The sequence below is a fragment of the Homo sapiens genome, chromosome 12 (assembly GCF_000001405.40).
Source record: "Homo sapiens chromosome 12, GRCh38.p14 Primary Assembly".
NCBI classification, from domain to species: Eukaryota; Metazoa; Chordata; class Mammalia; order Primates; family Hominidae; genus Homo; species Homo sapiens.
This window is the reverse complement of record NC_000012.12, coordinates 129,012,898-129,030,539: the sequence shown is the minus strand read 5'-3', so window position 1 is coordinate 129,030,539 and position 17,642 is coordinate 129,012,898. Positions and strand designations below refer to the sequence as shown.

Here is a 17,642-nt window from a genome sequence, read left to right as displayed (position 1 = left end):
GTAGAGACGGGGTTTCACCATATTGGCCAGGCTGGTCTCAAACTCCTGACCTCGTGATCTGCCCACCTAGGCCTCGCAAAGTGCTGGGATTACAGGCGTGAGCCACCACGCCTTGCCTAAATTTCTAAATCTTAAAGCTCAATTGAGCACCAAGGTTTTCAATGAATGACTGTGGACCTGGGATAGACTGTGCAGTTGTTTAAAATATTCACTCCTGTTCCTTCCTTAACAACAGTCCCTACAGGAGAATCGTACATGACTGCCCCGCCCACATTGACACAGCCATATGACTTGCTCAGTCCACTGGAATGGGAACAGAAGTGACTTTTTTGCTGCTCCCAGGAGTTTTAAGTGCCATGAAAAGATCCCTCACTTCCCTTCTTTTTCTTCTCCCATAAGACCAGCAACACCCCAGGCAAGAGCTGTTCTGTTAACACAGTTCACAGAATGAACAAGATGTGATATCACAATAGACACGAAATGTGGCCCTGAAACAAATCTCTGATGAGTCACCGAGATGGTGTGGGGCGGGGGTGGGGGGGGGGGGTCCTATGTTTCTGCAGCACAAATAAAACTAAATTGACTGATATGGACTTATCACCTCCTTTCTCCATGCAGGTAACTAAGGCACAGAGAGGTTAAGAATTCTGCCCAAGATCACAAAGCCGGTCATTGGTGATGCCTGACCTCGACTGGGGGGAATCTACATCCCAAATATACTTTGTTGAGCATCACACTTGATCACCTCTCTCTGAGCCCATTTGGTATTTTATTATTATTTTTTGAGACAGGGTCTTGCTCTGTCACCCAGGCTTGGAGTACATTGGTCTGGTCATAGCTCACTGCAGCCTCAACCTCCCAGGCTCAAGCGATCCTCCCACCTCAACCTCTAGAGTAGCTAGGACCACAGGTACCCACCACCACACCTGCTAATTTTTATAATTTTTTCTGTAAAGATGCGGTCTTACTATGTTGCCCAGGCTGGTCTCAAACTCCTGTGCTCAAACTCCCGCTTCAGCCTCCCAAAGTTCTGGGATTACAGGCATAAGCCACCATGCCTGGCCATGAGCCCACTTTTTTAAAAATGACTTTTCCTTTCCTGAGAAGATCCAAGCTCCCAGGGTCTGTTCCCCTCACACTGCCCCCAATTCCAAGAAAGCTCTCACATGAGGCTGATTCTATTTCTGTGGAAGCCAGCCTGCTTGCTGCCTTCAGACCAGCACGACCCACGGGGTCTCATCAGAGCCTGGCCTAATGAGGGAAGATTTTCAGAGTGCTGATTTATTTTCCTGCCTCCTGAGGTGTGAGCCGTGTGGGTCAGAATAACTTACCCTGGTCTACTGAAGAGAAATTACCCTTCCACAGCTCCCCAAAGGACACTTGAGTCCCCTATCCATATGTAAAGGCGGCTGCGGGAATGTTCTGTTCCGCAGCCATAAAAGCAGCACTGAGTGTACCTTATGATCACGCTTGCAGCGGCCGCCTCCTTCTTTAACGGTAAACTCTCCTGACATCTCCAACCGAGATAATTACGGTGCTTAGGGGAACTTTTGGCCTTACTAAAAATACTTAGCAAGTTTGCACAGCAAGGAATGCACTTACAGGTGACGCAGTAAATATGCTGGAGCCAGCGTTTGCTCATTCATCAGGGAGCCCTCGAATCTGCCGTCTGACCCCGTGTTAGACGCATCTCCATTCCTCCTGCATCGCTGTCCTCCCTCACCTCACATCCCTGCTGTTGAAGCCAGCATGCTTAGCCGACCTGGATCCTACCTAACAGGGAGTGGATAGGGGGTAAGGAGAGGCACCTGCTTCGTTCCACTGCTGTGGCTGAAGCTGCGAGGTATCCACCAAAACAACTTCCTTTCCTCTTGGGAACGCAGCTCAACAGGATTTCTCAGTCCCCCCTGTAGTTAGGCAAAGCCAAATGGCTGAGGTTTCACCAGTGGAATGTGAGTGGGAGTGAATTCATGGTTGAATGAAGACCTGGCTTATAAGCACCTTCTCGACCTGATCCCTCCCTTGCACCATCTGCCAGCTGAATGAAGAAGCCACACAGGAGGTCAGAGTCCCAGGATGGAAAGGACCTGGGTCCCTGAATCACCGTGTGGAAGGAGCTCCCCAACACAGTGGCACTATTATATGAGTAGGACATAAGCTGTGTTGAGGTGCTATTTACAGCAGTCAACTTTGCCTAACACCGTGGCCCTGACCCAGGGCTGCCCCGACTAAATTCCAGGTGTCTTTAGTTGAGCCATTGGAGAATCCCCCGAGGTGCCCTAATCGAGATACTCCTCTAACCTGGACCAGCCTACACACCATATGTCTCTTCACGTATTTAGCAAACACTGTGGGTGCTCGCAGTTTATCAGGCATTCACTGGGCACCAACTTGGTGCAAGGCACAGAGATAGAGACTCATGGGCAGCCACTGTATACAAAGATTGTCAGATGGGCTCAGTCTCAGCCCCAGAAGTCCACACACCAGTTCGGGGCAGCAAGGCCATGTTTAACTGACATAATCCTACCCAAAGGGGCTGTGTTTGCCTATTTGGTCTCCTGAGAAGGAAGTACAGCAGGGTTTTTTTTTTTTCTTTTTTTTTTCCAGCTCTATGGAGGCATAATTGACAAATAAAAATATTATATATTCAAATGTGTCTAGCGTGAGGTTTTGAAATATGTATACACTGTGAGATGATTGTCACAACCAAGCTAGTTAACATACCCATCCCTTCACATAGTTACCTTCTGTGTGGTCAAAACGCTTGAGAGTTATTCTCTTCCCAAATACTATTAACTCTATCAGCACACAGCACATTAGGTCTCCAGAACTTATTCGTCTTATGACTGTAAGTTTGTATCCTTTGAACAACATCTCCCCATTTCCCTCACCCCTGACTCTTGGTCACCACCCTTCTGCTCTGTTTCTATGAGTTTGACTACTTTAGAGTCCACCTATGGGTGAGATCACGCCATGTTTGTCTTTCTGTGTCAGGCGTATTTCACTTAGCATAATGTCCTCCAGGTTCATCCACGTTATCCCAAATGGCATCATTACCATCATTACCTTCTCTTTAAGGCTGAATAATACTCCCGTGTGTGTATACAGATGCCACATTTTCTTTCTCCATGCATCCACTGGTGGACACTTGAGTTGATTCCATGGCATGGCTGCTGTGAATAGTGCTGCAGTGAACTTGGGCGTACAGATGTCTCTTCAATACACTGATCTCATTTCCTGTGGATACATACCCAGAAGTGGAATTGCTGAATCATATGGGAGTTCTATTTCTTTTTTTTATTTTTTGAGGAACCTCCATACCATTTTTCATCAAGGCTGTACAAATTTACCAGTTTGCATTCTCACCAACAATGTGTAAGTGTTCCCTTTTCCCCCATCCTTGCCAACACACCTTTCATCGTTTTAATACAGTTTTAATACCAGTGGCCACTGTATTAGCCCATTTTCACACTGCAATGAAGATACTACTTGAGACTGGGTAATTTATAAACAAGGAGGTTTCATGGACTCACAGTTCCGCATGGCTGGGGAGGCCTCAGGAAACTTACACTCATGGCGGAAGGCGAAGGGAAAGCAAGGAACCTTCTTTACAAGACAGCAGGGGAGAGTGAGAGAAGCCCACGGGAAACTGCCGTTTATGAAACCATGAGATCTCGCGAGAACTCCCTCACTGCCATGAGAACAGCATGGGGGAAAAGGCCCCCATGATCCAATCACCTCCCACCAGGCTCCTCCCTTGACACGTGGGGATTATGGAGATTACAACTGGAGGTGAGATTTGGGTGGGGACACGGAGCCAAACCATATGAGCCACCTAACAGGCGTGAGGTGGCATCTCACTCTGCTGTTGATTTGCATTTCCCTGATGATTAGTGAGGTTCAGCACCTTTTCATACACCTGTTGGAATTCAGTTTTCTCCTAATCCCCCTTTAGCCAAGAATGGGAAGCTTTCTTTTCACACCACAACTCCTCCAAGTGTCTTGAGCCCTCACATCGGGTGATCTTGCAAGTCATCTGAGCCTGTCTGGGGCACTGCTCACGCTGAGGAGTCTCACCACCATCTCTCGGTCAGCGGCCCTCACTGGAAGGGTGAGAAGAAAAGCAAACCCTGACCCAGCTGTCCCTGGCTCCCGGGCTCTGCCACGGAGGGTGTTCGTGGTCACCATCTGGCTCCTGTGTACAGGATGCTTCTAGGCCAGCTCCTCCCCCAGCCATGCTGCCTTGGGCACAGAACAGGGGCAGAGAAAGCTTGGCCTGCTAAGGTGCCTCTGCTGCTTTCTTGTACCATTGGCCTTGTGTACAAGAATTGATCATCTGCTGCCCTTAGAGTGGCCAGTCTCTTTCAAAAGTCTGACTGTCTTAGGGAGAAGAAAGGGCCTTTAAAGAATTTGAAGAACACCCAAGAAGAACATAAAGCACATTGGTTTGTTTAACAAATATGTTCTGAACACTGCCACATGCCACGTACCATTCAGGTTGCTAGGAAGAAAGTGATGGGAAAAATATAAAGTCTTGGGCCGGGCACGGTGGCTCACGTCTGTAATTGCAGCACTTTGGGAGGCCGAGGTGGGCAGACTGCCTGAGGCCAGGAGTTCAAGACCAGCCTGGCCAACATGGCGAAACCTCATCTCTACTAAAAATACAAAAAATTAGCCGGCCGTTGCGGCGGGTGCCTGTAATCCCAGCTCCTCTGGAGGCTGAGACACAAGAATCTCTTAAACCCGGGAGGCAGAGGGTGCAGTGAGCTGAGATTGTGCAGTTGGACTCCAGCTTGGGCAACAAGGGCGAAACTCCATCTCAAAAAAAAAAAAAAAGACTATATATGTATATAAAGTCTCTTCTCTCTTGGAACTTACATGCTAATGGAGAGAGACAAATACAAGGGATGTGTACGTGAGTTGTGTGTGCGGGTGTGTGAGTCTGTGTGTGGGGATGCGGATGTGTGTGAGTGTATGGGGGTGTGTGTGGGTGTGTAGGTGTAAGTGTGGGGGTGGGGGGAAGTGAGTCTGTGTGTGGGGCTGTGGATGTGTGTGTGGGTGTGTGAGTCTGTGTGTGAGGTGTGGGTGTGGGTGCGGGTGTGAATGTGTGTGTGCGTGTGGGGGTGAGTGTGTGTGGGCGTGTTGGTGTAAGTGTGGGGGTGTGGGGGGATGTGAGTCTGGGGATGCAGATGTGTGGGTGTGAGTGTGAGTATATGGGGTGTGTTGGGTGTGTAGGTGTAAGTGTGGGGGTGTGGGGAGATGTGAGTCTGTGTGGGGTTGTGGATGTGTGAGTGGGTGTGTGAGTCTGTATGTGAGGTGTGGGTGTGTGGGTGCAGGTGTGAATGTATGTGGGGGTGTGGGGTGAGTGTGTGTGTGGGTGTGAGCATGTGGGTGTGAGTGCATGGGTGTGAGTCTGTGGGGGATGTGGAGGTGTGTGTGTGGGGATGTGGATGTGTGGGTGTGTGAGTGTATGGGGTGAGTGTGTGTGGGTGTGTAGGTGTAAGTGTGGGGGTGTGGGGGGATGTGAGTCTGTATGGGGGTGTGGATATGTGTGTGGGTGTGTGAGTCTGTGTGTGAGGTGCGTGTGTGAATGTGTGTGGGGGTGTGGGGTGAGTGCGTGTGGGGGTGTGAGCATGTGGGTGTGAGTCTATGTGGGGGGTGTGGAGGTGAGTGTGTGTGGGGATGCGGATGTGTGGGTGTGTGAGTGTATCGGGGTGAGTGTGTGTGGGTGTGTAGGTGTAAGTGTGGAGGTGTGGGGGGATGTGAGCCTATGTGTGGAGGTGCGGATGTGTGTGTGGGTGTGTGAGTCTGTGTGTGAGGTGTGGGTGCAGGTGTGAATGTGTGTGGGGGTGTGGGGGTGAGTGTGTGTGGGTGTGAGCATGTGGATGTGTGTGGGTGTGAGTGTGTGTGGGTGTGAGTGATAAGTGTTATAAAGCAAAATAAGTAAGGCGAGCAGAATGCCTGCAGCAGGGGTGCTCTTATTTACGTGGTAGTCAGAGAGGGGTATTTGAGAAGATATCTGAAGGAAATGATGCAGAAAGACACAAAGAATCACAGGAAAGAGTGTTTGAAGCAAGAGTGATGAGCTGGGTGGGCAGGAGGACACAGTGGGAAGTGACATTAGAGAGCAGACAGGGACCAAGAATGGGGTAGGGCGAGTTTGACTTTCCCTCTAAGTGATATGGGAGTAATCAGACGATTCTGAAGACAGGAGAGGCACAATCTGGCAGATGTCCTAAAAGAAACAATCTGGCTGCTCTGCAACAAATACATGAGAGAGAGTCAAAGACGGAAGAGGAGAGACCAGGTAGCAGACCATCGCAATAATTCGGGGAGGTTTGGGGCAGAAGAGTGCCATAATCTGACTTGTTTTTAGTAGATTTATCTGGAGCAGGGCAAGAGTGGATCAAGGGAGAACAGGTAGAAAATCAGTGCAATAATCCCCAGAGATGAGGGTGGTGAGAAGTCCTCAGAGGCTGACAGAGCCAGAAGGGTTTGCTTATGGACTGACTGTGGGGAAGGGTTTGCTGATGGACTGACTGTGCGGCGTGATGGAAGCGGAAGAGTCCAGGTGACTCCAGGGTCTTCAGCTGGAGCATCGGGATAAATGAAGTTGTCATTGACGGAGACGGGGAAGATGGCTGTGTGAGCGCACTAACTCATGAGTTCTGCCTTAAGCATGTTAAAGTGAGATCTATGCTAGATATACGAGGAGGGATATCCAAAAAGATACTGCATGTGAAAATCTTGAGTCCGAGGTAGATGTCCAGGCCAGATACATAGACTAGAGAGTCATCAGCCTGTGGATTGTATTTAAAGAGAAGGAAGAGAGGAGAGGAGAAAAAAAAGACCTAAGGAATTGAAAAACGAGAAAGAACTTGCCCAGGAGATGGGGAAGGAGGTGCTAGTGGAGGGAGGTAAGAAACAGGAGGGAGTGGGGTCCCCAAAGGAAGAAGTTGATTCAGGAAGCAAGAAACGATAAATGGTGCTGTATGCTGATTAAAGGCAGATCAAGATGACGACAGAGAATTGAACATGAAGTTCAGCAACACTGAGATCACTGGTCATCTGAACAGGAACTTCTTTTCTTGAGTGCTGGGAGTAAAAGAGTAGCTTAACAAGAGTGAAGAGAGGAAAATACTGTGGACAGTTTTTCTAATGGGTGTTGCTAAAATAAAGAAGGGGGAGGAAAGAGAAAAGGTGGGATAGCAGTTTTCTTAAAAATTAGAGATATTATAAGATATTGCAGGGCTGATCAAGTGGTGAGAAGAAACATAATATTGCAAGGGGACAAGAGAACTACTTCTGGAATGTGAATGTCCTCACGTAGTTAGTTGATAGATGGGATGCACTGACCAAGGAGAAGGTTGACGTCAAATCAGAGCACAAACCATTCATCCATTGTAACGGGATGGAACCTATCTGTAGGTTGAGATATGGCTCTGAGAGCTCACAAAATTCTTCTCTTACTACTTCTATTGTACTCGGTGAACAGGAAGCAAATGGCTTTGGGAGCTATAAAGCGGTTTCTAGACTGCACTGAGGATCCACTGAAATTCACGGTAAGAAGATTTAAGCGAGGCCAGTGGGCATGAGCGGGTGTTTCCCCGGTTACTTTCAGCTGCCTGCATGCAGGGGCGATGTAGATGCAGTTGGATTTACCTGGAATTGCTGTTTTTGCAAGTGAATCTAACAGATGAAGAGAGAGCCCAGAGCACTGAGGGTATAGACAAGACTTCGATGATTACCGCGGAACACAGTGTCTAAGCTCAGCACAGAGAGAGGTGAAGATGAACTGTGTGTGTTCTGATTGGAGGTCAACCTTTCCTCCCCGAGAGTAGTGAAACGTGAGAAGGAAGTAGGAGCAACGGAGTACAGATCCAGGTGCAATAAAAGACCTGAAGGATTTGAAGAACGGGGGCCAGTGAGCTACACAGGTGAGAAGAGGAGACCAGAGAATGATGAGATATTTGGAATTGAAAGTGGGATGGGTGTACTTTTTTTGATAATGAAAAACACCTAAAGGGCGATATCAACAAGGGCTGCTTCACAACATCTCAGTATGCAAGGCTAATATCTGTCGCAGAGGGTTATGGAAGTGCTTTGGGAGCATAGAAATTCAGAAATTAATTCTTACTCATGCTCATTGAGGATGTTGAAGAAGGCTGCATGAATGAGGTGGGTTTTTGGGTTTTTGGCTGGGTCTTGAAGCATGCACAGAATCTAAGTGGGTGGGGATTGTGCAGTAGAGGCTAACCTTGCCCCAAGAAAGGCTTGGCTCCTGACCAGCCAGCCTCTAAGTCCTTGGGATGTCCTGCCTGACAAGAGCACCTTTGTTTACCTGGGACCTTTTGCCCACATTAGTCAATGTGATCCATGGTGGGGTTCTTAGACAATGCAGTTATCTGCTCAACCTCTGTAGGGGCTGGAGAATAAGGTCAGTCATGAGGGTGATCAGGTGAGTCTACAGGACCATCACCCAGTCAGAACTCTGCCCACCAAGGCGGGGAGGGGGGGGGCGGGCTTCACTGGCCGGCGGGAGTCTGGGTGTGTTGCCATGCTTCATGGCTGGGGGTAGTAAGTGCAGTACCTGTGACTCCAGCGGGAGAGGACAACTGGAACTCTCCTGGGCCCACCCTGTGCACTGCTTCCATATGCTGGGTTCAATCTGCATGCTTTCGCCGTAATAAACTGTTGTTGTGAGCATAACCACTTTGCTGAATCATGGGCCTTCTAGGAAGTCATTGAGCCTGGGGGTAGTCTTGAGGGCCGCAGTATTTGAGTTAAAGATGAAGGCTAAGATACTCTAGTTAACGACCTAGTATGAAAAAAACACAGAAACTTGGAAATGTCATTTTCACATGAATAGACAGTACACAGAAAGGAAAAAAAAATTGCTCTTAAACATATGAAAAAAGAGTCCAACCTGACTTCATAATATCACAAGTATAAAAGTATATTGAGATACCATTTTTTTAACCTAGGAGATTGGAACAAATCCCAAAGCATAGTAACACACTGCATTGTCGAGGCTGTGGGGACCCAAGGTCTCTCACACACAGCTGGTGAAAATGTGAACCAATGCAAGCACCATATGGGTTAATTTGGGAATATCCATTAAAATTACAAGTACAAATACATTTGACCCAGCTATCATATGTCTGTAAACTTATCCCACCCAAATACTTGTACATGTGAGAATGCCTGTGCATAAGAATATTCATTGCAGCTTTTTTGTGTAATAGAAAAAGATTGAAAGTAACTCATATGTCTATTGGTAGGAGACTGATTGAATAAATTACATTATACTATCCATCAGAATAAATAATGCAATGCACCACATCTGAAAAAGAGGAACGAGAAAACTGTACTGATGTAGAAAGATATACATTTCAATGAAAAAAAGCAAGTTGCAATACAGTATTACAGCAGGCAACTATTTATGTTAAAAAGTGTGGAAAACAAGAATACACATTGTATTTGCATGTGTTCACATAAAGATACCATGTAATAATACACAAATAATGAAGAGATGTAATGGCCTCTTTGGGGGTGAAGAGAGGAAGGGGAAGGTATTATTTTTGTACATTTGAATATATTGTTTATTACAGGGATTAAATTTAAAAAGAAAGAACTGCTATTTTCTAAACTGCGGTACATTTTTGAATGCTTCTAAAAGACTGAAATGAAGTTGACTACAGAAAGATGTTTTGTGCCATTTCTGCTGGTTATCTGCTAACGTAGTAGGCAGCCTCTATGATGCCCCCACCAATGCCTGCCTCCTGGCATTCATGCTCTTGTGTAATCCCCTCTCCTCACACGTGAGCTGGACTTACTCACTTCTAATAAATGGAACATGTCATATGTGATGAAATGTCACTTCCAAGGTTAGGTCATAAAAAGGCTGTAACTCCCACCTTGGGTAGCAATGCAAGGTGAAATGTGTCCCTTTACAATTTATATGTTAAACTCCTAACTCCCAATGTGAATGCATTTGGAAATAGGACCTTTACAGAGCTCATTAAGGTTCAATGAGGTCATAAGGGTAGACCTATAATCTGATAGGATTGTGTCCTTATAAGAAGAGAAGCCAGGCACTGTGGCTTACTTCTGTAATCCCAATGCTTTGAGAAGTTAAGGTGGGATGATTACTTGAGCTCAGGAGTTGGAGACCAGGCTGGGCAACATAGTGAGCCCCCATCTGTTTAAAATACTTTTTAAATAATTATGGCTGGGTGCAGTGGCTCATGCTTGTAATCCCAGCATTTTTGGAGGCCAAGGTGGGAGAATCGCATGAGCCCAAGAGTTGGAGAGCAGCCTGGGCAACACAGTGAAACCCCAATTCTACCAAAAAAAAGAAAAAAGAAAAATTAGCCAGGCATGCTGGTGTACACCTGTAGTCCCGACTACTTGGAAGGCTGAGGCCAGAGGATTGCTTGAGCCTTGGAGGTTGAGGCTGCAGTGAGCCATGATTGTGCCAGTGCACTCCAGCCTGGGGAACAGAGCAAGACCCTATTTACAAAAAGAAAGAAAGAAAGAAGGCAACACCAGAGCTTTCTCTCTCTCTTTACTAGGTGAGGACACAGAGAGAAGGCTGCTATCTACAAGCCAGGAGGAGAATCCTCACTAGACACCAACACTCTGGGACCTTGATCTTAGACTTCTAGCTTCCAGAACTGGGAGAAAATAGATTTCCTATTGTGTAAGCCACACAGTCAATGGTGTCTTGGTATGGTAGCCTGAACGTGCTCCTACAGGTGACAGGTGTGCTCTCTCTCTCTCTCTGTCATTGCTTGTTCTAGAGGGAGTCAGGAGCCACATCACAAAAGAGCTCCACGGAGAGGCCCAGGTGACAGAGGCCTGAGGCTCATTGACAGCCACGTGAAAAAGCTTGGAAGCCAACCCTCTCCACATCAAGCCTTGAGATGACTTCACCCCTGGCCAGCAACATGAGAGGCCCTGAGCCAGAGCAACTTGACTAAGCTGCTCCCAGGCCTCTTACCTACAGAATCTGTGAGATACTGAATGTTAGTTGTGTTCAGCTGCTATGTTTGGGGGTAATTTGTTACACAGCAGTAGATAACTGATGCATCCACACAACAAGTTATTCCAAAGCTTAGCAGCCTGAAACAACAAACACTTATTATGGCACACAGTTGCTGTAGCTCAAAAATTGGTACTGGCGTAGCCATTGGTCCAGCTCAGGGCTCCTCATGGTTGCCATCAAGATGTTGGCCAGGGCTGCACTATTGGTTCAGATGGGGCTTGGGAGCCACTTCTAAGGTGGGTCACTCACAGGCTGCTGGAAGGAGGCCTCTGTTCCTGGCTGTGGGCAGAAAGTCTCAGCTCTCCATCACATGGGTCTCTCCACTGGGCTGCTTGAGGGTCCTTTCAACGTGGCAGCTGGTTTCCCCCAGAGCAAGTGATGCAAGAGAGAGAGAGAGAGGAGAGAGAGTGTGTGTGTGGCCCTGGATGTCACACACTATATATAATACCCTATTAGTGACACAGGTCAGCCCTATTCAGTGTCAGGAGGAAACTTCCCAATGGAGTGTACTCCAGAATCAGGGACCCTTGGGGAGCAGGTTGAAGACTCTGTGGAGACAGGATTTTTCCCTTGACCTTGACCCCCTCCCGGAGTGGTACATTTCACTCAGCCTGCAGTCTGTGGACAGCTAAGTGTTAACAGCTCAGTGAAGAGTTAGGATGACAGACTCCTGCACCTGCCCTTTTTGACACAGTTTTTGTTGGGTGTCCAGGAAGAACCAAGTCACATGAACTGTTTGAAAGACAATGAATGTGTAAGGCTTTATTGAACAGTGGAAGTGACTCTCGATGGAAGGGGAGCTGGAAAGGAGATGGTGCAGGAAGAAGGTGATCTTTCCCTGAAGCCCAGCCGTCTCTGGCTGAGCTCGCCTCCAAAGCTGCACCATCTGAAGTTCTCCTGCGCTCAGTTGCTGTTTCTCAGCTCCCCACTCAGCCGCTTGTATCCCGGCCCATCAGCAGCTTGTGTTGTTCTCTTCTTTTTTTCCTGCCACCTGGTCTGGCTTTTAGGTACACAGGACAGGGGGCAGGGTGAGCCAAAAAGGCAATCATTTGGAATGGGGTCAGCTGCTTTCACTTAGGGCCGTGTGTCCAGACTTGTGGGTGGAGTTTAGCTGGGAGCCCAGCCCTTCTGTATCAGGATCAGCTGTTTTCGCTTAGGATGGAGGGTTCCAGCTTGAGGGTGGAGTTTAGCTGGGAGCCCAGCCCTTCTGTATCAGGATCAGCTGTTTTCGCTTAGGATGGAGGGTTCCAGCTTGAGGGTGGAGTTTAGCTGGGAGCCCAGCCCTTCTGTATCAGGATCAGCTGTTTTCGCTTAGGATGGAGGGTTCCAGCTTGAGGGTGGAGTTTAGCTGGGAGCCCAGCCCTTCTGTATCAGGATCAGCTGTTTTCGCTTAGGATGGAGGGTCAGCTTGAGGGTGGAGTTTAGCTGGGAGCCCAGCCCTTCTGTATCAGGATCAGCTGTTTTCGCTTAGGATGGAGGGTTCCAGCTTGAGGGTGGAGTTTAGCTGGGAGCCCAGCCCTTCTGTATCAGGGTCAGCTGTTTTTACTCAGGGTGGAGGGTCCAGGTTTGAGGGTGGAGTTTAGTTGGGAGCCATTCTGTATCACTAGGACAACATTGATAACACAGTCCCAGGGCTGTGGGTGGGTATGAGGATTGGGGGGTTTCAGGATTCAGGTTTAGGGATGAACAAAGAATGCTTGAGCCTTATCACGTAACTACTGCTAACTACTTGGTGCTTTCCTTTCCTATAAATTTATATGGAACCTACATAAAGAAGAGGGAATTAACATAAATGATAATATACTAAATATACCTGTTGGTGATTTTTTTTTTTTGAGACAGGGTCTTGCTCTGTCACCAAGGCTGGAGTACAGTGGCAGGATCTTGGCTCACGGTAACCTTGACCTCCCAGGCTCAGGTGATCCTCCCACCTCAGCCTCCTGAGTAGCTTGGGTTAGAGGCGCATGCCACCATGCCGGGCTAATTTTAGTATTTTTGTAGAGACAGTGTCTCTGTATATTGTCCAGGCTGGTCTCGAACTTCAAGGCTCACGCTATCTGCCCACCTCAGCCTCCCAAAGTATTGGGATTACAGGTGTGATCCATGGCGCCAGGCCACTACTAGAGACTTTTTATACAACAGTATGTCATGGAATTCTATGTTAGCACATATAGGTCTACTTTATGTTATTTGGTTTTTTTAAAAAAAGTTATGGCAGTGAGGTGTTTAATATTGTCTTTTAAAATATACATAAACAGTGTAGATACATTTGAGTAATACTGAATTTTTAGAAAAAATCTATTGGAGTGTCATATATGAAAGAATAAGAGATTTGGGAATGCTTTTTTTAATTGGACAAGAAAACTGATCAAATCTAAATCTGGACAAACTGGAAACAGAAAGTTTGGGTGCTAGCAATACAAACTATAGACACATTCATTCTATCATCACTTCTACGTCAGAAGTATCAGAGAATTGCGATGCCTGCAAATGCATGCTCATACACACCAAGACATCCATTAAAAAAATAAAGCCAAGCTTTCCAGAGCATTTAGCACTAATTTAATGTACTTGTTCTTCCAAATATTGCAAGGTAGGATGGGATTTCTAAAGATAAGGGAATAAAGAACCGAGGCAAAGACAGCCAGCACATACACACTGAATCACTCTCTATAATCATATTGCTAGAACACCGTCAGGGAGTAGCCCTGAAATCACAGACCTGCTGCCATGACGTGCAATTACAGGACAGAGGTGCCAGGAGGAGAAGAGCCCATTGTGACCAAGGAAAGCCTTTGTGAGAAGACTACTTCAGGGTGCTCCCCATCAGAGGAGCACACCCCTGATCTTGTATTCCTCATTGGTCCAAGGTTCGTGTGAATTGGTCAGGTGGGGAATTTTTTCTTCCACAGACATCAGCCTCTTCTGAGTTTTTTTTTTTTTTTTCATCAAAGGCAGATTTGTGCAGCCTTAAATCTTCCGATGTAGGGAAGATGGTTAAGTTTCCTTTCAGCTACAGTGACACCAAGCATCCACAGTGCACAGTCCGGGTGGCTCAAAGCCTCACACAGCACCACCACCACATCAGCATCCAAGGTAACCAACCCAGTCGAAGTTCAGGCTCCTCCATGTTTTGCAGGCAGTGAGTGCCACAGCAAGGTCTTCACAGCAGGCACGGGTGATCGGCTATGTTTGCAGTGCAAGACACTCTCATCTACAGTGAGGGTGCTTCAAAGCATCACATAACTGTTTGACACCAGCGCCTCGTATTTCATCATGCCCAAGTTTCAGGGTCTTCAGTGTTTCATTGCAAATAAGAACAGCAGCAATGTCCCTATAGGAAACGGAAGTAAGGAAACAGTCCATCAACAACAACTCCTGTATGTTTCAGTCTTAGTGCTTCAGTGCTTCACACAGAGATGCCACTTCATTATCTTCCAGGAAATTTGACCCCAGGTCAAGGAGGGACAGGGATTTACTGCAGAAAAGGACGTGGGAAATGTCTTCACAGGAGACACAGATGAGACAGCAGTACATCAACATCAGCGTCTCCAGGGCACAGCAACATCATTCTTTTGTCCTTTTCGGGATTTTCTACCAAGGAGAGATGTATCAGCTTGCTGTTGCAGGCCAGGACAGAGGCGATGTCTTCACAACCTTCATCGGAGATGTCACATGTTCCCAGCATCAGCTCTTCTATCTTGCATGTTGTGTGCTTCAATGTCTCACACAGGTGGCTGACATCAGTATGGGAGAGGCTAGTGCCATACAGGCTCAGAAGTTTCAGATGAGGGTCGTGAAGAACTGCCTTAAATAATTCTGAATCATTTCCAAAGTTAGACATAAAAGTAAATTTGGGTTTTTGGGGCTTACAACAGGCTGAGCCAGCGCTTTGCCAAGAATTGCCAGGGAGGCATCACCGAGGCTACTGTTTTCCATGTCTATCATCTGGAAGTTCTTGTTGGTACTGAACATTAAGCAAAGCTCCCGCCAGTAGATGAGCTTCGCATTGTGATCTGAGATGCATCCTGAGAAATCTGGAAAATATTCTCTACACACATGCGAAGTGTAGTTAAATTTTGACAATGCTTCCGGCAGAATGAAGATACTACCAAATGTTCTATGTTACCAGTACAAATGAAAACTTCTTCAAAGAAATTTATCACTTCTGTTACAAATTCTTTTTCCTGAGTTGCAAATAAATCATGGAATAATTCCTGGAAACCTATCACTTCCCTATCAGCTTCTCATTGACTTAAACTTTTAAGGCACTGGGTTATTTCCTTCTTTAGGTCTTTTAACAGTGGAAAACCAAAGGATGTCTCCAGCAAGCTGATGATTTCTTCTGTTGAAATTCCAAACACGAATACCCCCACCTGGGTCGAGTGGGTTTGAGGCTGAGCCACACTTGCTCTTACAAGCTGGGTTATGCTTCCAATGGTTGGGTTAGGATCATCTTTGGGTCGTTTGAGCAAATAAAACATGGTGGCACAAAACTCTTGGATACATACATGGATGAAGGTAAAACACTCACCTCACCTTTGGAGAAGTTTCATACCCACCCACATTAAGCCCTCAGACTCAGATAACCCATTCCTCCAGAGATCCCATGGCAAAATACAAATGCATGTGTCCAAATTCCCTCTGCAGCCAAAGCACACAGGCTTTTTAGTCGGGCTCTGTTCACCTTAGGTGGAAAACTCTGACTTCCTGCTTTAAATACATTTGTTAAAAATGATGCATTCATTTTTAACAAATGAATGAAGGTGTTTTGGGAGTTTATTTCAAGGTCTTCTCCCCTTTCTAGCTGCCATTTCATACAAGTACAGACCAACCAGCATATAAAGGGATTATGGCACAAGATAAACCGCTGTCCAGTATCTCTCACAAAATGGAAGGCCTTCAAGGCTTTATTCTTCTCGCTGAAGAAGTAGGAGAAATACAGCTTCCTTTCAAGTTCAGTGAATCCTGGGAGCTTTATGAGTTTTGGATGCTACAACATAAAATAGTTTTTTTGCATACCCACTTTTCCTAATGCAATAAGCAGAGAGGATTCTGGAATCATCTTTTTTTGCAACAAACTGCTCAGGATAATTTGTGTTGGCTGCTGCTGCCTCCAGTCATCACACAAGTCAGCCTTAAGTTCCAAGTCAAACTTCAGTTGCTCAAAGCCATCCATGATGAACAGAATTTGCTCTGGCTGGGGAAAAAAATGTCTTTGATGTTCTCTGGAGACTCAGGCCAGTCCCTAGAGAGGAGCTCCAGTAAGCTGGTCTCTGTGATACCGTTCGTTTCATAGACATTAAGGAAAAAAACAAATGTAAATCTATCCTTCCATAAGTTTCCCTCTGCCCAGTCCAACATCACTTTTTTTTTCTTTTTTTTTTTTTTTTTTTTTTTTTTTGAGACTGAGTCTTGTTTTGTCGCCCAGGCTGCAGTGCAGTGGTGCGATCTCAGCTCAGTGCAACCTCCACCTCCCAGGTTCGAGTGATTCTCCTGCCTCAGCCTCCCAAGTAGTTGGAAATATAGGCATGCACCAGCACGCCCAGCTAATTTTTGTATTTTTAGTGGAGACGGGGTTTCACCCTGTTGGCCAGGCTGGTCTTGAACTCCTGACCTCAGGTGATCCGCCCGCCTTGGCCTCCCAAAGTGCTGGGATTACAGGCGTGAGCCACTGCGCCTGGCCCATCACTTTTCTTAAAAGGGCTGTTTTTCCAATTTCATCAGAACCCTCCAGGACCACAGTGAATAGTCTAGCCTCAGCAGTATATGCATCATTCAATACTTTGACTCATTTTTCATGGTTTCTTTGTAGAAATGCTCAGGGACATGAAGACAGGTTTCCTTTTCCCATACAAGTTGAAATTTTTCTTTCATATGCTTTCTATATGGGTTTAGCTTATTTCTTATCTCTTCCTGAGGCTTCATCCAGAGATCTTTCCTATTGATCTGAAGAAATAGGTTCAGTGTCACCTCCCATGCCTGTTTTCATGGATAATGTTTGTCCAACAGCTTTGCTACATCTTCTTTGGAAGCTCAGTCCAGGTGATTCACTTGAGTTCCAATTTCAAAGGTTCTTATTTGAGGAGCTCCTTAAATCTCCAAAAACTCTTCGTTTCTGAGCTGCTTCAGCTACCAAAACAAGCCAAAATCTGACAAAAAAAAAAAAAAAAAGGATTCTGCCATATTGTCCCAGATTGTGAGCTCAGATATCTCCAGAGGGAAAAGAAAGATCCTGAAAAATAAAGAATAAATGATACCCAATCCAGCTCCTGGTCCTTCCAGCTGGTACTTATCCTAATTTATGCTATTTTAACTGGCATATGGCACTTCACAGTATGTTTATAGACTGTTTTATTTAACTATTCACTTATTGGTGTACTTTTCGGTGAGTTCAAGTTTTGCACTAGGAAAAATAATAATAGACAATCTCAAAAGGTTATGTACCATATGATTCCATTTCTATGATATCCTCAAAAAAAAAAAAAAAAACTATAGTGATGGAGAACAGATCACAAGGGCCAGAGGTAAGGGGTGGGGGAAGGAGTGTGTTACTACAAAAGGTTAATGTGAGGAAATTTCCAGTGCCCTGATG

At 46.3% G+C, this 17,642-nt stretch overlaps 1 long non-coding RNA gene and 1 pseudogene across 1 annotated transcript; both read right to left on the bottom strand.

Annotated features, from left to right (window-relative positions):
* Window positions 1–1,513: 1,513 nt before the first annotated feature.
* On the bottom strand, window positions 1,514–8,847 carry LOC105370073 (uncharacterized). The gene is made up of 3 exons (XR_945538.3): window positions 8,591–8,847; window positions 3,067–3,237; window positions 1,514–1,773 (listed from the first exon to the last, which is right to left on the bottom strand). It is a non-coding gene; the product is annotated as an uncharacterized LOC105370073 (long non-coding RNA).
* NLRP9P1 (NLR family pyrin domain containing 9 pseudogene 1) lies at window positions 13,379–17,256 on the bottom strand (annotated as a pseudogene).